This window comes from Homo sapiens, chromosome 12 (assembly GCF_000001405.40).
Source record: "Homo sapiens chromosome 12, GRCh38.p14 Primary Assembly".
In the NCBI taxonomy this organism is placed as follows: Eukaryota; Metazoa; Chordata; class Mammalia; order Primates; family Hominidae; genus Homo; species Homo sapiens.
In genome coordinates, this window is record NC_000012.12 from 109,949,523 (window position 1) to 109,970,924 (window position 21,402).

Sequence of the window (21,402 nt, forward strand, 5' to 3'; positions counted from 1 at the left end):
GTTTATCTTAATAAGAACCAGGCTACACTTTTTTATTTGGAAGGAGTATAAGGGAAAATAAAAAGTTATAGACAATTCAATAGTTTCAGAAATCAAAAGCACTTCTAAGAATTGATGAGATAATCAATAAGCAAAAGCAAATAATTTCACTTTGCATTTCTCAAAGAAGCTCAAGACATTTGCTTTCAGAGATAATGAGGCTCTCTCTGGTGATTTCCAAAAATACTAAAAGAAGCATTGTTAGATTTTAAAAGGTGATGTGCAGCAGATTGATTTACAGTGGCAAAATCAGCATGTTTCAGAAATAGTCACCTGGTCAAAATTATTAGTCCAATTAATGGAACAAACTATAATCCACTAAATAAAATATATTCCAAAGAAGGCAAAGAAAATACAGGTCCTGTATGTTATGACAAAGGGGCTCTCGGTCTGTCTCGTTTACAGCTGCACGGCAGCCCTAGACAGGGCTGGGAGACACAGAACAAGTGTCTGTTCGTTTAAGGCTAGCTGATCTTAAGCATTCTTCATTCCCTGCTACTATAGGCATTAGAGCCATTTATTTCAAAAAGTCTCAAAAATGCTCTAGAAGTCAACATCAAAAGAATCCTAGACCAAACCCCAGGCAAAAGTGCACAGCAATTTCCTTCCCTAGTAAACAGAGGGGCATGGGCCCCTTTTTAGTTCTTCCACCTTCCTTTAGGAAGCAGCACTGAAAAGAGTCCAGGCACACATGGAGTGTGCCACGTCCTCAGGTCTTGAAAATGATTTGAAAACCTTACTTCTCAAATGACAGCCTAAAGACATAGATTATATATTTCATTTTGTTTCTGGTTAAGTAAAGTGTCCAAATCTCATTTTAGAGCTGAATGATGAGTGATACCCACAAAGTCATGGGCAAAATTTGCAATTTTTCGAATTCCCTTATTTAGCCATCTCATAAGGAGTTGCATACACAATCCCCCTCCTACTAAGGGTATTCCTTGCTACCATCAACCACACTCCTTTTAGGGATTAATATATTCACACGGTTCTGATTCTCTCAAAAGGTAATGAATGAGAAAATGCTGAGCAAATGAGATTGTTTTTTACCAGTGTGCAGCTCTTCCTAGTACAAATGAAATGTTTTTTCTTATTTTTTGAGCACCTACTCTGTGGCAGGCCCTCCTGTAGGCTCTGGGGATAATACAAGTTAGTAGTAAAAACTGGTGAGCAATAAGGTGGGGATGTGGGATAGGGCTGCCAGGGTGGGAGCAGGGTTTGAATGCTGATAAACATGCCCCTGCCCAGGGCTCTCATTGGCTCTGTCTCCATGGTGTGATCATCCTTCCCTAGCAATGGGAAGAATCACATCCATGGAGCCCCATCCAGGTTTCCAGGAAGCACAGAATAGTCCAAGGGTTATTCTAATGGGCACAAATGCTTAAATAGATGTTAGGTTTCTCCTACCTGGGGAACTTACTCTGGATATATTTCATTTTAAATATCCAAATACATCCTGCTTCAAAAAGACAACTTGGCCCAAAGATTTCTAAGGCTGTTACAATAACTGTTTTTCTTTCCTCGGACCACATCACAGTGCCTGAGATTCTTCCTTGTACTATGGGATTAAAGCGTCAACCGTCCTGGCATTTATTAACATGTTACCTTTTTCTGCATAATTCTCAGCTCGTCACTCAAGTTGTTATTCACCTTCATTAGCTGCTGTATCTTGGCCTCAGAAGCCACTAGAGCGTTTTTGACCTCCATAAATTCCTGTACAGTGACTGGTCCATCTGATAAATCTGAATCTAGGCTCTAAAAATAAATTGGGAAAACGTTCACAATCTGAGATGACGAGAACATTAAAGACTAACAGCTCAAGAATTTCAAATTCTGACCAAGCCAGCTGAATTGCAAAGTTAGTCAAACCAAATCAAGGCCTCTGAGAGTAATGCAAAACTAAAACATAAAAGTAGGGTCACTATACTATTTAAAAAATTTGAAAGTCAGTATTTTCTAATAGAACAGGCAGTGAGGCTACACATCTATGCTGACAATGACTGTCTAAGGAGGTCTGTCCTGTCTTGTAAGCCTTTCTCTCGTTCACTCTTGTTTTGTTTTTATTCATTCTTTCATTAATTCATTCATTCCAACATTTTCATTGAACATTAGGCAGTGTTCTAGGTGCTTGGGATATATTAGAAAAGAGACAAAGATTCCTGCTTCCATGGTGTTTATATTCCAACAGCATGAGAGAGTATATATATTGCATGATTGAGGGTGATGAGTGCTGTGGGAAAAGATAAGACAGAGCAGGGTAGGGGGCTGCATGTTAAGCGGGGAGCTGGGGTAAGCCTGTGAGTGGGTGAGAGGTGAGCAGAGCCCCAGGAGGTGAGGGGATGAGTCACATGAATCTGGAGGAAGAACATTCCAGCCTGCAGTGGAGCTCAGCTAGAGGGAGCAGGTGTGTGGGATGGACTGGGCAGGAGGCCAGGCGGTTGACAGAGGGCCTGGTCACAGAGGGTCTTGGAATGACCTCGGCTCTCACTGAGTGAACCAGGTGGCTTCCGGGAAGTCTGCGCAGGGGTGTCCCCTGCATCTGCTAATGACGCCATCTTTCTCACAGTCATGTGGGCCGAAGAACTCCAAACAAATCTTCTATAAATCTGTCTCCCCACTTCAACCTTCCGACTTATTGCCAAGACTTTTCTATTCTACCTTCCTATTCATCCATTCTCAAATGATTGCCAAGCCCCTCTGTGGGTGTGTCCTGGGGGTCAGCAGAGGGTGCACAGCCTGGGGTCCTGCTGCCCTCTCCCCCAGCTCACACTCTGGTGCCGAGGTCTCTCCCACCCGCACCATCCTAGCATGGGTCCTTAGGTGGCCTGCATCAGCTCCAGTATGGATCTCTCCCTCCACTCTCTAACCCACCAGAAGAGTCCTCCCCAGACATGGCATCCTGGGCTCTGCACTGCCTGTGAGGCCCACTCTCTTCCGTCGGGTGTCATACCCCTCCTGCTGCAGCTTCGAGTCCCAACCTTTTTAGGCTGTCCCTATGCATGACCAGCTTCCCCTTAGATGCCCTGGTTTCACTTTCTTTCTGACTCCTCCACATGCCCCAATCCCAAGCGTCCCTTGAGGCGCATCTTAAGAGCTGTCCTATGACACAGCCCCACCTGATGCTCCCAGCCATAGATTCTCTCTCTGCTCACTCCCTCAGCCTGTGTGTGCTTCGTATGACACACATCACTTTGTGCCTTCTCCGCAGTTCTCTCTCTCCTAGGCAATGAGAGCCTCACAGGAAAGGGACGAGGCCTCATTCAGGAGAGTAATATCCAGAGAAGTCACTCAGTAAACACTTGTTGAATGAATAAAACACACCAATCACTCCTCACAAGTTTTATAAAGTCTCAACTGCAGCAGGGCTGTGATGCAGGGACAAGGATCCCTATTTTAAAACCATTTAACCTTGTTTCACCTTTGCTTGGCCTGAGCTAGTAACAAACCCAACCTCACTGCACAGCAGCTTTGGCAGGGCTAGCCCTCAGCTGATGCGTGCTTGCCCTTCCATGGGACGCATGGCCTCTCACCTTCTGCCGGTTTGTTTTGCTTGCAGTGGTTTCCAAATCTGTGTCTTCGTCTGATGCCACGCTGTCATAGTCGGGCTGATCGTTGTCTTGACTCTCAACGCTGTGCTGGTTATTGATGGTTTTCAGTATGAGCTCCACATTGTCTATCAATAAAAGCAAACAACTTTACTTCAGGCTTAAAACATTGCTTTTCTTCCAAAAAACTACGGAGAGGATTTTTTGGTTTAGCCATTTAAAGGACTTAAAGGGCTGAATGCTGTGCTCTTGCCTGTAATCCCAGCATTCTAGGAGGCCAAGGAGGAGAACTGCTTGAGGCCAGGAGTTTGAGACCTACCTAGGCAACACAATGAGACTCCATCCCTACACAATAATTTAAAAATTATCCAGGCCTGGTGTCACAGGCCTGTAGTCCCAGCTACTAGCTACTCAGGAGGCTAAGACAGGAGGATTGCTTGAGCCCAGGAGATTGAGGCTGCAGTGAACCATGACTGCACCACTGTACTCCAGCCTGGGCATCAGAGTGAGGCCCTGTCTCTAAGAGCAAAAACAAAGACAAAAACAAAATGAACAAGGACTGAAAAAAAATGACAGAAATGGCAACGTTATATTCACACCAATACAGAGATAACAGAAAAAGTTTTCAACCAGGTGGACAGCTACATAAGAGACTCCAGCATTCCTCTCATCTACCTGCCAAATATGGGCAAATTAAACAGATGGCTTAGGAAGGAACTGCTCAGATAAAGAAGGCAGGTTCCCAAGTTTCTAGAGATAGAGCCTAGCTCCAGGTCATGAAGATAAGGCTGTAGGTAATGGAAGATAAACTGTAATTCTATGAATACCTATAACATATTTACAAGGTAATGTCACTCAAAACAGAAAGCAAATTGTTAAACTGGAGCCAGAACCTAGGCACTCAAACAATAGAAGCACTGGGCCGGGCGCGGTGGCTCACGCCTGTAATCCCAGCACTTTGGGAGGCCGAGGCGGGCGGATCACGAGGTCAGGAGATCGAAACCATCCTGGTTAACATGGTGAAACCCCGCCTCTACTAAAAATACAAAAAGTTAGCCGGGTGTGGTGGCGGGCGCCTATAGCCCCAGCTACTCGGGAGGCTGAGGCAGGAGAATGGCATGAACCCGCTTGCAGTGAGCCAAGATCATGCCACTGCACTCCAACCTGGGCGACAGAGCAAGACTCCGTCTCAAAAAAAAAAAAAAGAATAGAAACATTGGCATTTAGTCAATTACCTGCATCTCAGCGAGAGAAAGAGATAAAGGAGAATGAATCAAACAAATACACATGTGCATGTTACAGGGAGTGTCTATCCCATAGGGAGCAGGGATTATTCTAGAGGATCTAATACACTTTGAACAAAAGATTTCACAAACTACCCAAGTCTCTCTGATTTCTTTCAGGCAACTCAAACTCTGACTTCTAATATTGTTTCCCAGAGATGTTGAGGAAACAATGGATGGATGATATCTGGGTGATGAATGGTGGTTATTTAAAAAGACTAGGTCCTAGCTGGGCGCAGGGGCTCACATCCGTAATCCCAGCACTTTGGGAGGCTGAGGCAGATGGATCACTTGAGGTCACGAGTTCGAGACCAGCCTGGCCAACATGGCAAAACCCCATCCCTACTAAAAATACAAAAATTAGCTGGGCGTGGTGGTGCACATCTGTAATCCCAGCTACTTGGGAGGCTGAGGCAGGAGAATCGCTTGAACCTAGAAGGTGGAGGTTGCAGTGAGCCAAGACTATGCCACTGCACTCCAGCATGGATGACAGCGAGACTCTGTCTCAAAAAAAAAAAAAATAATAATAATAATAAAGGATAGATCCTATTTTAACTGTTTAAATATTTTAAAACACATAAATATAATTACAGAATAGTCAATATATTCAATTTAGAAACTAATGAACAAGTAAGATAATCACTTATAGCCATTGTTATTTGTTGATCTATTTCTAGGTTTTTCTCCGAGCACTTATAGCCACACACAGTCAATTCTTGTTATGCTTGGTAGTTATGTTCTTTTCTTTTTTTGAGACAGAGTCTCACTCTGTTGCCCAGGCTGGAGTGCAGTGGCGCGATCTTGGCTCACTGCAAACTCCGCCTCCCGGTTTCACGCCATTCTCCTGCCTCAGCCTCCTGAGTAGCTAAGACTACAAGCGCCCGCCACCACACCCAGCTAATTTTTTTGTATTTTTTTAGTAGAGACGGGGTTTCACCGTGTTAGCCAGGAAGGTCTCGATCTTCTGACCTCGTGATCTGCCCACCTCGGCCTCCCAAAGTGCTGGGATTACAGGTGTGAGCCACCGCACCCAGCCTCTTGGTAGTTATGTTCTAAAAAGTTGCTGTGACTTGGCCAATATTAGATCAGTGCTTCTGGGGTTATCAACCAATCAATATATAACCTTGTTCTACGTGTGTTTCTGTTTAAAGATACCTTATTTAATACATAGTATTGATTCATTAACATTGAACTCATGGCCAACGGCACTATAAATCATGCCTGAATGATGCTTATTTAACACACATTTCTCCGTAGGGCACATCACAGCCTTCTTGCACTTAGAAACACTAGACAGCACTTCAGGACTATGCTTGGGGGCCACTTTTTTTCTTTTTTTATTGAGACAGGGTCTCGCTATGTCACCCAGGCTGGAGTGCACTGGCATAATCATAGCTCACTATAGCTTCTAACTCTTGGGCTCAAGTGATCCTCCTGCCTCAGCCTCCTGAGTATGTAGGACTACAGACACATGCCAACACACCTAGAAAATTTTTAAATTTTTTGGTAAAGATGGGGCCTTGCTATGTTGTTCAGGTGTGCACTTTTTTTTTTTTTGAGATGGAGTCTCACTCTGTCATCCAGGCTGGAGTGCAGTGGCACGATCTCAGCTCACTGCATCCTCCACCTCCTGGGTTCAAGTGATTCTCCTGCCTCAGCCTCCTGAGTAACTGGGATTACAGGCACGCGTCACCATGCCTGGCTAATTTTTCTTGTATTTTTAGTAGAGACAGAGTTTCACCATGTTGGTCAGGCTGGTCTCGAACTCCTGACCTCGTGATCAGCCCACCTCAGCCTCCCAAAGTGCTAGGATTACAGGCGTGAGCCACTGCGTCTGGCCAAGGAGACACTTTTGAGATAGGGTCACCCATGCTAGGGTGCAGACGTGATCATGGCTCACTGCAGCCTCAATCTCCTGGGCACTCAATTGATCCTGGGCGGTAGGGGGCCATTTTAAAACAGTGAAATGACCAATGAAAAGCACACAAATATGACTAACATGGCACTAAATAGACCACAGACACTTGTTTATAGCATGAGTGCAGAAACAAGAAGTCAAGGAGTCTCCTCCCTGTTCAATCTCAGCTGGAAACATGTGCTTTTGGTGACTCAATTTTTTTCTCTGCTCTGTACATTTCTTACAATGACCTTGAAAATGCTGTATTAATTTTGAGGTCACAAATTTTAGCAAGTAGATGAATTTGTAAATATGGGATGTGCACATGAGGATCAATTGTGTATTTATATTTACATGTGGTATACTCACTTGTACACACATATTTACATAAATATGTTTTCCTTACAAAACTGGGGTTATACAAAACCTTTTAAAAACTTTATTATTTGGCCAGGTATGGTGGCTCATGCCTGTAATCCCAGCACTTTGGGAGGCTGAGGTGGGCAGATCGCTTAAGGCTGGGAATTCGAGAATAGCCTGGCCAACATGGAGAAACCCCGTCTCTACTAAAAAATACAAAAATTAGCTGGGTGTGGTGGTGCACACCTGTAATCCCAGCTACTCAGGAGGCTAAGGCACAAGAATCACTTGAGCCTGGGTGGCAGAGGTTGCAGTGAGCCAAGATCGCGCCACTGCACTCCAGCCTGGGCGACAGAGTGAGACTCGTCTCAAAAAAAAAAAAACAAAACAAAATCAAACTTTATTACTTTGTCTCATATAATTACTACTATAGTATAAATGTTTCTTCCCTCCAAATCTCATGTTGAAATGTGATCCTCAGTGTTGGAGGGGAGGACTAAAGGGAGGTGTTTGGGTCATGGGGGTGGATCCTTTATGAACTGATCAATGCCCTCCCTTTGTAGTGAGTTCTCGCTCTATTAGTTCCTGCTAGGACCTGGTTATTGAAAAGAGCCTGGCACCTCCCTCCTCGCTCTCTTGCTTCCTCTCTCACCGTGTGATCTCTGCACATGTAGCACCCCTTCACCTTCCATGAGTGGAAGCAGCCTGAGGTTCTCACCAGATGCCCAATCCTCCAGTCAGCAGAATCATTAGCCAAATAAACCTTTTTTCTTTACGAACTACCCAGTCTCAGGTATTCTTTTATAGCCACACAAAAGGGACTAAGACAATTACATATTCTTTTAAAAAAAGATAAGTATGTATTTTTTTTTTTTTTTGAGACGGAGTCTTGCTCTGTCGCCCAGGCTAGAGTGCAGTGGTGCGATCTTGGCTCACTGCAAGCTCCACCTCCCGGGTTCACGCCATTCTCCTGCCTCAGCCTCCCGAGTAGCTGGGACCACAGGCGTCTGCCACCATGCCCAGCTAATTTTTTATATTTTTAGTAGAGACAGGATTTCACCGTGTTAGCCAGGATGGTCTCGATCTCCTGAACTCGTGATCCGCCTGCCTTGGCCTCCCAAAGTGCAGCATGTACTATTTTAAAATGTGACTAATTGTTCCTCTTTATTACTTAGTTGCTTCTAATGTTTGTGTTGTTCTACATATAACATCTCTGATGATTTCCCTTCAGTTAATACCTAAGAGTGGAATTATCAAATCAAAGAGCAGGTATTTTTTAAGACTTTGTTTTTTAAGTTAAAAATTTTTTTTTTTTTGAAAAGGAGTATTGCTCTGTCACTCAGGCTGGAGTGCAGTGGCACAATCTTGGCTCACTGCAAGCTCTGCCTCCCAGGTTCACGCCATTCTCCTGCCTCAGCCTCCTGAGTAGCTGGGACTATAGGTACCCACCACCATGCCTGGCTAATTTTTTGTAGTTTTAGTAGAGACGGGGTTTCACCATGTTAGCCAAGATGGTCTCAATCTCCTGACCTCGTGATCTGCCCACCTCAGCCTCCCAAAGTGCTGGGATTACAGGTGTGAGCCACCGTGCCTGGCCCCCAATTTTTTTTTTTGAGACAGAGTCTCACTCTGTTGCTCAGGTTAGAGTGCAGTGGTGTGATCTCGGCTCACTACAACCTCTGTCTCCCAGGTTCACGCAATTCTCCTGCCTCAGTCTCCTGAGTAGCTGGGATTATACGCGCGTACCACCACGCCCAGCTAATTTTTTTGTATTTTTAGTAGAGATGGGTTTCACCATGTTGGCCAGGCTGATCTCAAACTCCTGACCTCAAATGATCTGTCCGCCTCAGCCTCTCAAAGTGCTGGGATTACAGGCGTAAGGCACCACGCCCAGGCCATTTTAAGACTTTAAACTTATCCAAAGACTCTTGTCACTGTGCCTTCACCAAAATTTAATAAACCTTTTCAGAACTTCCTTATTCCTGGTTGAACAGATAAAATCAAATTCCTGAACAGGAAAGAAGAATGAATGAGTTGTTGTCAGTTAATGATTACTGTCTTTGGGGAATGTGATACTGACTGAAAACTTAATTTTTATGGTACATATTTCTTTTGCTTAAATGACTTACAATGAAAAACGTCTAATTTCTATAATTAGAAAAAACCAATATGGATACAGTAATAGGGCTGGAGAGGAAGGACATTCCTAAGCATGCAGACAGGACCTGGGCTACTGAACTAGACTCAACAGGGCACTGGTGAAACAGATGCTCAGAGCTCTCCTTATAATTGTATATCACAGTAATTCTCACTGAAGACATTTAAAGTTTATGGCAACAAATTTTAATTATGTTGAACTCAGTTTTGTAGGTAAGCAACAGCAGATATTATGCAGTTTCAATCAGGAAGAGTTTTTCTTTTCCGTTTTTTTTTTTTTTTGAAACAGAGTCTTGCTCTGTCACTCAGGCTGGAGTGCAGTGGTGCAATCTCGGCTCACTGCAACCTCCGCCTCCCAGGTTCAAGTGATTCTCCTGCCTCAGCCTCCTGGGTAGCTGGGATTACAGGCGCCCGCCACCATGCCTTGCTAATTTTTGTATTTTTAGTAGAGAGGTGGTTTCACCATGTTGGCCAGGCTGGTCTCGAACTCCTGACGTTAGGTGATCCACCTGCCTCGGCCTCCCAAAGTGCTGGTATTACAGGTGTGAGCCACCACGCCCGGCCAAGAAGAGTTTATTTTCTTATGTCCTTTAACAAGATCTAAGCCAGAGTTTTGGGTTAATTTCAGGATGCAATTTTACAGGGTAGGTTAAGTGTCCCAAAACAAAACAGAAATCATATATAAGATAAATATGTGTAGCAGTTAATAACTCTGAAATATTGTTAATTCACCAGGGCTCAGACAGGTAAACTATTTATCACAATATACTACCAATAAAACTTACAGTGGGTGGGGCTGAGGGGAGGGAACCTAGAGGACAGGTCAATAGGTGCAGCAAACCACCATGGCACACGTATACCTACGTAACAAGCCTGCACATTCTGCACAGGTATCCCGGAACTTAAAGTAAAAAAACAAACAAAAAACCAAAAACCTATAGAACTGTCATGTTGATGACTGCTTTAATTAGTTTATAACTTTAACACCTGAGTCAAATTTAGAGGGCCAAAAAATGCAAGTGTTTGGAGGTTTGAGCAGTTACCTTTTGAACCCGAGAGAGAACTGCCCTGCTGTCTCCTCTTGGCGTCACTGAGAATGTCAATGACCAGCGTGGCAAACTCATGGGCGTTGAACCGAGCTAACTTCTGTCTGCCCTAAAGGTGGGAAAATAATTGGAAATATTTCCCAGTGTAAAAATATATACATAAATAGTCACATAAAACTAGTCAGACTATTGACAGACTTCTGCAAATACTTTCTTCTGGCATGATCAAAGTACAATTAATCCCAGCCATAATCAAACCAAGTTAATGCTTGTTTTCCATATGAACAGTTTAAAACCATTTATATAAGAGAATTTCATAACAAATGTTATGGCATTTCTCACATATGCATTGTTCTCACAATGCAGGTCTATTTTGGTAAGCAAAAATAAAATGGGTCTACTGAATGCTTTTCTTCTATTAATGCTTCAGTTTGGAAGTAGACCCAGTAATAATAAATTAATTTTGAGGGGAATTTTTAAATTTTAAGTTTAGGCCGGGTGCAGTGGCTCACGCCTGTAATCCCAGAACCTTGGGAGGCTGAGGCGGGAGGATCACTTGAGGTCAGGACTTTGTACAAAAATTAGCCAGGCATGGTGGCGGGTGCCTGTAATCCTAGCTACTTGGGGAGGCTGAGGCAAGAGAATCGCTTGGGTCCGGGAGGTGGAGGTTGCAGTGAGCTGAGATGGTGCCACTGCACTCTAGCCTGGACAACAGAGCAAGACTCCGTCTCAAAAGAAAAAAAAAATTTAAGTTAAACAAAATCATAGTCTAGATATTCCCTATCCTTATATATAGCTGCTAATTATAAAGACTAAAACACCTTCATAATTCATTCAACATTTCTCCTCTTGATGGATGTGTTAGCTGTTTTTAATGCTCTATTGTATACAATGGTGCTTTGATGAAAATCACGTGCATAAATCTATTTTTATTTTATTAGAGCATATTCTCAAATGAGAAATTCCCATGTAAAAGGATGTACTTAATTTTGAGGCTTCTGAAACTGGTAAACAAATTGCTTTTCTAACATCTACAGCAATTTAAAGTTCTATCTGTTGCAAGAGAAAGCTCAGCTTACCACATCCTTACCAGTTTGGAGTATCCTTTATTATATATTTTATTAATTTGACTGATAAAACTTGCACTAATGCTTTTAAGTTGCTTTCTTAGATTACTGACAAGGTTAAACATTTCTTCACATTTGTAAGCCATTTATATTTCTTCTGTGAATTGTTTCATATTCTTTCCCAGTCATTTATTTATAGTCTATTGTTTTTCTTATCAATTTGGGGGTTGTGTGTGTATATATGTATAAAGGATATTAAATTTTAATCAATCAAAACATTTAGAATAGTTTTCCTGGGAAAAATGAAACATGACATCAGCCATTCCCCAACTACTATTCCTTTCCAAACTGAGCCACTTGCCTGATTTCGTGTTGATGAGTACTCAGGATTGACCGGAAGAAAGGGGACGACCGTTGTCTCGGTTACCAGGGCGCTGTGGTTTTGCGTGGCAAGCCAGACTAGTCAGAGGAAAGAGCCAGAGACAAACCTCATCACGCCTGTGTGCCACTGCTCCTGGGAGGCACAGCTCACGCACTACGAGGGGAAACACACTCTGAAGCCAACACACGCAAAGGCAAACGTCGACACTCGCACCATCAGGACAGCAGAAATTGGACTAGTAAAACACTGAGCCTGGCAGCTTTTCACTGCCCACTGATAACAGAAGCTTATTAGATAAAGCCACGTCAAGTCACCTGCATCCGTCTCTCGCCTGTCAACTTCATCGTACACATCCATGGCAAGTTCTTCAAACAAATGATTACTTAGCTGAAAATAAAAAATATCAGGAACACAAGGGACAATGATTAATGCCAGGAGGACAAGAGGGAACTGCGACTTAGTCACCCTTTTATTGCCTACGTCTTATCCAATGCCAGTGCTTGGTACATACCCACTGTTAAACAGACATAACATTTTCAAAATCGTACAGGGCCTCTAGAAATGTCTGCCAACCACAGCAATTTCACTACTTTATGACACAGACAGAGCTGCTGCTATTAAGGAGCTAAGAGGCATCTAAAGTGCATCATCTCAGAAGTAGGTTCCAGTTCTCTACTCTTCTTGTGATATCATCCTGTAAGCCTCCTTTTCTGCACTTAAAAGTGCTTATCAGTTCCCCAAAGTATAAGGGAACCTATAACCTTGCAAAAACAGCCAGGCTCAGTGGTGCACACCTATAATCCCAGCACTTTGGGAGACTGAGGCAGGTGGATTGCTTAAGCCCAGGAGTTCGAGACCAGCCTGGGCAACATGGTGAAACCCTGCCTCTACAGAAAATACAAAAACTAGCTGGGCGTGGTGGTGCACACTTGTAGTGCCAACTACTCAGGAGGCTGAGGCAGGAGGATCACTTCAGCCCAGGATATCAAGGCTGCAGTGAGCCAAGATCACACCACTGCACTCCAGGCTGGGTGACAGAGTGAGACCCTATCTCAAAAAAGAAAAAAGAAAAGCAAAAGACATGCTGTTTTGAGAGGATAAAATGTGCCCTTGCACAAAAACGTGACTCAGACCTCAGCTGAGTTTCTTTGCTCTCTTTCTCAGTAGCAGTCCTACTGCTTCAGTCTCCAGAAGGAAGCTTCCTACCAAAGCACAGCCTGACTCTTCAGCACACAACAACCACCTCACAGCCTGCAGTGCCTCCCTGGGCACATGGAGGATAATTGAGGTCTTCCTGGCCCAGATGAGGTTAAGCCTCTTCTGGGGTGGCTCCGCCTCTCTCTGCACTTTCTGCCTCATGCAACACCTTGACACGTGGTAGTTGTGACTCTTAAACTGTCTGACATCTGCTTTGGGAGGGCAGATGCTGAATCTGTTATATTCCCTATTGGGTTCCTTACATCCACACATGGTACCTCACACTTTAAAAGTGGCCAGAAAAGAGGCACTGGCTGGCCAGAAGGGATTTAATGCAGCAATTTAAAATGCTGGCTACAGGCTGGGTGTGGTGGCTCATGCCTATAATCCCAACACTTTGGGAGGCAGAGGCAGGAAGATCACTCACTTGAGCCTGGGAGTTCAAGGCTGCAGTGAGCCACGATGGCACCACTGCACGCCAGCCTGGGTGACGGAGTGAGACCTTGTCTCGAAAAAAAAAGAAAAAACAAGTGCTGGTTACAGAGACCTCATAGGAACATGTTAAAATGGGTACCATATATTACTGAGTGAAAAAAGCAGGTTATAAACGTCTACAATTATGATTAAGTTCCAGTTTTAAAAAAAGATATGCATATAAAACAAGAACTGAAAGAAATGTACCAAAATATTGAGCCTGACTCCATTAAGAGTATAGCAATGAGGATGGTCCCCTTTCTCTATTTTCCAAATCTTCCCAAATGTGGTCGCACTATAATTAAAAACAAACCCAGAGAGCCTGTTGCTAGACAAGATGTTGAAGGATTGGGAGCTTGACTTTGCTTCATAAATATCTAGTTTCTTCCTCCATGGGACTACAAGCTAATGTTATTATTACTAGCAACAACTACAATGGCCAACGCTGATTATGGGCTTATATCCCAGGCACTGTGCTAACAGTATCATATTTCACTTATAACACCTCTATGAAAACAGGAACTACTATTGTCCCATTTTTAAGACAAGAAAACTGAGGCAGAGAAGATAGTAGCTTGCCTAAAGTCACAAAGCTAGTGACAGACCTGAGATCCAAGTTTACATCTTTGAAAATGCTAACATTTACTCATTCAAGGAATACATTAGCCTTTGTTATATTTCTCTCAGTTCTTCATCAGGAGGGAGGGAAGGAAAAGAGAAAGGAAAGAAAGGATGAAGGGAGGAAGAGAGGGAGGACAGGAGGAAGATACTGGAGGATAAACACTGACCTGGCGCTGATAAGATGGTCACCTATGAGAAGGAGACCACAGGGTGAGGGTCAACAAGTAATGGGGCAGCCCACTCTGAGCAGTTCTGGCCGGCAGCCCCTGCAGGATCCTTATCTCCCTCTTCTATGAGAGGATGCCAAGGCACAGGGAGGCTAGGAAGCTTGGCAGGGCTGAGATATGTACTGACCAGTCTGACTCAGAGCTGCAGCTCTGGAGAGCTATACTAGACTCTGTTCCAGGTCTTTACTTCATGCCTGCCACGTGCTAGAGATATTACAAGCATAATCTCAGCTTTCATGCAGCTTCCAGTGAAGCAAATGTAGGATAGTCTAAGAAAACGTGGGTTTTTATCTAGGTTTGAATTATTTATAATAAAATTTACTTACAGATTGTGAGTAATTAAAAGGAAATCACACAATATTTAGTGCTATCTGACTCCAAAGCTTATCATCTTGATCATCTTAGTTTACAACTTCCTTAAGGCAATAAAACACACAGACACACAAAACTGTAGATACAGAACACAGAGACACCAAACAAATTGCATAAAACACATTTATTTCATAATACAGTTAAATACTAGTAAGGATAAATTCATTTAATGTAATATTTAATACTGAGTATTATATGAAGTTTTAGTAAAGGGTCTTCTGTGAAAACAGAAATGAGGAGAAAGTCATAAATGAGGGAAGCTGCAATGTCAGAGTCAGGCTTTGGGAAAGCCGCTACCTACACTGGTCAGATTTCAGGTCCTTGAATCAGAGAGATGGAAGCTGGGAAAGGCAAACGCTGTAGGCAAAGCAGGATTCCTGGAAGAGGACTTGAATGTGCAGCTCATGGCCTCAGAGGGTGTTAATCTAAAGACACACACACACACACACACACACACACACACACACACACACACACACACACACACGGAACCAGATGGGAAGCAGGGCAATCTCTGAAAGGTGAGAGCTGAATGATGCCCTTACAGGTTACAAAAAGAAGTTAAGAATCTTGGTTCTGATCCAAAGAGCAATGGGAACAGCTGAGGAGTATACTTTGGTGGTTAAAGTGGAGAGAAGTGCCCCGGTGAGGCTTCATGTGAGAGAACTAGACAAAGAGAAGTCAATCCCAGAGAAGTAGATTTCCCAGGGCCTTGAGGCCTTGGGCCCTTAGGCCTTTCCTAAGGCTGAGGTGGGCAGTCTGGAAGAAAGACACAGGCTAAAGGGAGGTTGTGGCACAGAGCCGGCAAACTCTGAGCACGCACATGGGCCAAGACCACCAGCTTTTAACAGCAGAAATTTAAAAAGCACTGATGAATGGCATGGGATGGGAAAGAGGTTTACAATATGGCTGGATCCAAATGGCAGCCAGTGAATCTATGGGACTCGCCACCATTTCAGCATCAGCATTTACCAGCTCTAGAACCCTACATGGCTAAGTCACCCCAAGAACGCGTGCCCTACTTACTCATGACACTGAGAGGAACTAGGGAACTCTCCTGAGGAGAACAACTGCCTAATGCCAAAGGTGCCATCTGCACTTGTTACATGATAGAGAAAAATGAGATTATCTGAAGCAGAACCAATGAACTGAATATACTGAACTTAATAGTCCTTGTGGTCATCACTGCTGTATACTCAACAGTCTGCTTCTAGTTTAACAAATAAAAGTATGAAATAAAGTCATCAGACGCAATAGGTAACCTGCATTCAGAGTAGGTATCAGCAGGGTGCACTGATTCTCATACTAGAGAAAACCAGTACAGAGAAATACTCACAGATTGAAGTTTCTTCTTAGCAGCTTTTGCCAATTCAGACAAATCCAGGCTGCTAAGAAAACATACAAAGCTAATAAGCAAATAAATAAAGCCAGACTTGTGAACTCTGTAAAGTTTAAGACACCCAAGAGATAAAAATATTAATTACAGTTCATGGACCATGTTAGAACCAAGCATTCTACAGCCCAGTAGAGTCAGTGAGGAGCTCTAAACAGAACAATCTGGTGAAAGTAACTCCTTCTGAAATACCACAATCATGTAAGTGTTAAAGAGGAAAAAAAAATCGTCCACCAACTAAACGACAAAAGCTATTGCCAGGTTACCTTCCAGGCCCTTATGTGAGGAGTCACAATTTTTGAAGTATTAAAAAAAAAGCATGATATAAGAAAATATGTCGGGCTCGATGGCTCCCGCCTATAATCCCAGCACGTTGGGAGGCCGAGGTGGGAGGATCACAAGGTCAGGGTTGTTTTTTTTTTTTTTTTTTTGAGATGGAGTCTCACTCTGTCACCCAGGCTGGAGTGCAGTGGCGCAATCTCAGCTCACTGCAATCTCTGCCACCAGGGTTTAAGCAATTCTCCTGCCTCAGCCTCCAGAGTAGCTGGGATTACAGGCACACGCCACTGTGCCTGGCTAATTTTTGTATTTTTAGTAGAGACAGGGTTTCACCATCTTGGCCAGGCTGGTCTCGAACTCCTGACCTCGTGATCCACCCGCCTCGGCCTCTCAAAGTGCTGGGATTACAGGTGTGAGCCACTGCCCTGGCGAGGTCAGGGGTTTGAGACCAGCCTGGCCAACATGGTGAAACCCCATCTCTACTAAAATTACAAAAAATTAGCCTGGTGTGGTGGCACACACCCATAGTCCCAGCAACTCGGGAGGCGGAGACAGGAGAATTGCTTGAACCTGGGAGGTGGAGGTTGCCCTAAGCCTAGACTGCACCATTGCACTCCAGTCTGGGCGACAGAGCAAGACTCTGTCTCAAAAAAAAAAAAAAAAAAAAAGAAAGAAAAGAAAATACAAGGCCAGATATAGTTGCTCATAGGGAGGCCAGGGCAGGTGGATTGCTTGAGTCCCGGAGTTTGCAACCAGCCTGGGTAACAGAGCAAGACCCTGTCTCTACCAAAGCAAAAAAAAACAAAACAAAACAAAACAAAAAGGGAAGATGTAAAAGATCAGGATGGCAAGATTATATCTGGAATAGCAGTTAGTCATTTCATAAACTCTTGACAGTTTCCGTGCAAAGGTAACTTGCAAAACAAGGGTTTAAGGATCATTCCTGTAGCAATGAACTCATCTGCTCTTATAGACCAGGGGTCAGAAAAATTATGGCCTTCTTTTTGTTCAGTTGAGCTAGGAATGGTTTTTACGTTTTAAAATGTTTGGGGGCAAAAAGAAAAAACAATATTTCATAACGTGAAAACTATTTGAAATTCAAATTTCAGTGTCCAGAAATAAAATTTCACTGGAATAGACACACCCATTCATTTATAGAGTGTCCACAGATGCTTTCATCTACAACAGTAGAGTTAAGCTGTTGCGAAAGCGGCCATATTACCCACAAAGTCTAAAATATTTATTAATTGGCCCTTGAGAAGAAAAGTCTGCCAACCCCTGTCATAGATAATGTAATCTCCTATAATACAGAAGTATTCTGTAAATAAATAAATACAAAATACTGTCACAACTGGCTAAAACAGTGACAATATCACTGGTTTCAATTTTCCTATTAGTAAAATTGCTACTTGTGCTCTTTGAAACTTAAGTTTTATATAGTGGTTTACTTACAGCCGTCTTATTTCCAAATGGTATAGCCATAAAAGAGAAAAATGTATGGGCTTTGTTAAACACAAAATATAATATACTTAAACATAATACAACCAAGGAAATATTAGCGATAGACAAAACTAACTGGTATTTCAATGAGCTTACCTGTCTGCCATTTGAGGTATTATAAAGTGCTGTCCATTTTTGTGATCTGAAACAGAAACCAAGTCAAAGTTTTGTTCATAGAAATGTTGATAAGATCTGTAAAGGAACATCACCATTATTTCCTCAAACTAAGTTTTGCGATTAGTATTTGTGCATAATGACGAGTCATGTTGCTAGACTAGCTAAAAATTCCTGAAGACCCAGCTAGTAGTAAGGCTCATAGCCTTGTTTTTTTCTGGTACAAAGGTCCAGGCATCATTTAGCAGAAACCTATGCTCACCCCAATCACGACGATTAGTTTGCCCTCAGTGTAACTGACGATCTTTGGCCATGGAAAGTGTGCTGAGGGAGCTGAATCAGCTCACAGCAGGTGTCCATCAGCCCACGGTGTGGGACAGTGGATGAGCTCTAGGTCTTGCTCAAATGAATCTATTAGTATAAAACAGCTAGGGCTGGGACAGGTGGCCTTTGCAGATCCAGACAGGGACTCCATCTGCAAGGAAGCTTACTGACTCAGCCCTAATCTAGCTCCTGGAGAACACTGATCCATGTGCCAATGAATAACGCCACTATCAGCACTCCTATGTAGGTTTTTCTTTAACATAAGTCTATCTTTCTTCTGGGTAAAGACCCAGGAGTAGAAATGCTGGGTTATATGGTAAATGTATGTTTAACTTGGTAAGAAACTGCCAGACCTTTTCCCTTGAGTAGCGCTATCACTTTGTTTTCCAAACAGCAATGTGAGAGTTACAGTTGCTTCCTGTCTTTCCCAGCACCTGTACTTTCAGTTTTTGTTTTTAAAAGTTTAATCATTCTAATAGGTATGCTGTGGCATCTCATTGTGCTAATGACTAATCATGCCACGCTTGTCTTCATGTGATTTTTTTTTTTGCCATCCCATATCTTGTCTTTGCCCAGTTTTTATTGGGTTGTTTTCTTACTGTTGAGTTTTAATTTTAATTAATTAACTTATTTATTTATTTGAGACAGAGTTTCACTCTTGTTGCCCAGGCTGGAGTGCAATGGCGCAATCTCGGCTCACCGCAACCTCCGCCTCCTGGGTTCAAGCGATTCTTCTGCCTCAGCTTCCTGAGTAGCTGGGATTACAGGCATGCGCCACCACGCCCAACTAATTTTGTTTTTTCAGTAAAGATGGGGTTTCTCCACGTTGGTCAGGCTGGTCTTGAACTCCTGACCTCAGGTGATCTGCCTGCGTCGGCCTCCCAAAGTGCTGGGATTACAGGTGTGAGCCACTGTGCCCAGCTTATTTATTTATTTTGAGTCAGGGTCTCACTCTGCCCCCCATGGCTGGAGTGCAGTGGCGTGGATCTCGGCTCACTGGCAACCTCCACCTCCTGGGTTCAAGCGATTCTCATGCCTCAGCCACCTGAGTAGCCAGGACTACAGGCGTGCACTGCTACACCCGGCTAATTTTTTTATATTTTTAGTAGAAACAGGGTTTCGCCACATTGCCTAGGCTGGTCTCAAACTCCTGGGCTCAGGTAATCCACCTGCCTAAGCCTCCCAACGTGCTGAGATTACAGGCGTGAGCCACCGTGCTCGGCCTGAGTTTTTAAAATTCTTTGAATATTCTAAATATGAGTAATTTGCTGGATATGTGATTTCCAAATACCTGTATTTTTCTCCCAGTCTGTTGCTGGTCTTTTCACTTTCTTAACTAGTTTTCTCAGAACAAAACTTTTCCTTTTTTTTTTTTTTTTTTTTTTGAGATGGAGTTTTGTTCTTGTTGCCCAGGCTAGAGTGCAATGGTGCAATATTGGCTCATTGCAACCTCTGCCTCCCGGGTTCAAGCAATTCTCCTGCCTCAGCCTCCCAAGTAGCTGGGATTACAGGCATGCACCACCATGCCTGGCTAACTTTTTGTATTTAGTAGAGATGCAGTTTCACCATGTTAGTCAGGTTGGTCTTGAACTTCAGACCTCTGGTGATCCACCTGCCTTGGCCTCCCAAAGTGCTGGGATTACAGGTGTGAGCCACTGCACCTGGCCAAAAATTTTCAATTTTGATGAAGTATAATTTATCAATATTTTCTTTTATGCATTGAGTTTTGGTGTTATATTTAAGAGGTTTCTTTTTCCCCCTTGCAGAGGCAATGTCTTGCTCTGTCACCCAGGCTGGAGTACAGTGGCATAGTCATAGCTCACTGCAGCCTCGACTTCCTGGGCTCAAGTGATCCTCCTACTTCGGCCTCCCAAAGTACTAGGATTACAGGCGTGAGCCACCATACTCAGCTGATAGCTAAAAGCTTTCATCCAAGATCACAAAGATTTTCTCTTATGTTTTCTTTTTTTTTTTGAGACGCGGTCTCACTCTGTCGCCCAGGCTGGAGTGCAGTGGTGTGATCTCGGTTCGCTATAACCTCCGCTTCCTGGATTCAAGCGATTCTCCTGCCTTAGCCTCCTGAGTAGCTGGGACTACAGGCATTCACCACCATGCCTGGCTAATTTTTGTATTTTTAGTAGAGACGGGGTTTCACTATGTTGGCCAGGCTAGCCTCAAACTCCTGACCTCAGGTGATCCACCCGCCTTGACCTCCCAGAGTGCTGGCATTACAGGCATGAGCCACCGTGCCCGGACCTCTTACATTTTCTTCTAGAAGTTTTACAGTGTCAGGTTTTACATTTAGATCTATGATCCTTTCTAGTTTCGGGGTAAGGTGTGAGGTTTAGGTTGAAGTTCACTTTCCTGCACATGGATGTCCGGTTGTCCCAATGCATTAAAAAGAATATCCTGGGGCGGGTGCAGTGGCTCATGCCTGTAATCCCAGCACTTTGGGAGGCCGATGCGGGCAGTTCACGAGGTCAGGCGACCAACACCATCCTGACTAACACGGTGAAACCCCATCTCTACTAAAAATACAAAAAATTACCTGGGTGTGGTAGAGTGCGCCTGTAGTCCCAGCTGCTCGGGAGGCTGAGGCAGAAGAATCACTTGAACCCGGGAGGCCGAGGTTGCAGTGAGCCAAGATCCCACCACTGCACTCCAGCCTGGGTGACAGAGCAAGACTCCGTCTTAAAAAAACAGAAAACAACAACAACAACAAAAAACTATCCTTCCTCCACCACTGAACTGATTACCTTTGCACTTTTGACAAAAATCAATTGAACATATTTGTGTGGATCTATCTCTGGATTCTCTATACTGTTTCAATGGTCTATATGTCTATCTCTTCATAGATATCACAGTCTTGAGAACTGTACAGCTTCATAGCAATTCTGAAAAATTGGGTGCTGTACTTCCTTCCACATTATTCTTCTGCAAAATTGTCTGGGCTACTCTAGTTCCTTCACCCTTCCATTTGAATTTTTAAATTATTATTATTATTTTTGGAAATGAGGTCTCACTCTGTTGCCAAGGCTAGAGTGCAGTGGCACGATCATGGCTCACTGCAGCCTCAACCTCCTGGGCTCAGGTGATCTTCCCACATCAGCCTCCTGAGTAGGTGA

The 21,402-nt window shown here is 43.5% G+C and overlaps 1 protein-coding gene across 23 annotated transcripts in view; it reads right to left on the reverse strand.

Annotated features, from left to right (window-relative positions):
- The window catches only part of GIT2 (GIT ArfGAP 2), a 70,361-nt gene that overhangs the window by 19,719 nt on the left and 29,240 nt on the right, over positions 1 to 21,402 (reverse strand). For 5 of the 23 annotated variants that reach the window (XM_047429924.1, NM_057170.5, XM_006719708.5 and 2 more), the window contains exons 8-14: positions 17,936 to 17,981; positions 16,004 to 16,055; positions 12,091 to 12,163; positions 11,756 to 11,853; positions 10,325 to 10,436; positions 3,570 to 3,712; positions 1,690 to 1,794 (exon numbers count right to left, since the gene is read on the reverse strand). In XM_047429924.1, coding sequence (XP_047285880.1) covers positions 1,690 to 1,794; positions 3,570 to 3,712; positions 10,325 to 10,436; positions 11,756 to 11,853; positions 12,091 to 12,163; positions 16,004 to 16,055; positions 17,936 to 17,981 — 629 coding nt within the window. Of the gene's footprint in view, positions 1 to 1,644; positions 1,795 to 3,569; positions 3,713 to 10,324; positions 10,437 to 11,755; positions 11,854 to 12,090; positions 12,164 to 16,003; positions 16,056 to 17,791; positions 17,798 to 17,935; positions 17,982 to 21,402 lie in introns of all 23 variants that reach the window. The other 18 variants (XM_047429926.1, NM_001135214.3, NM_057169.5 and 15 more) reach the window with 6 other exon arrangements.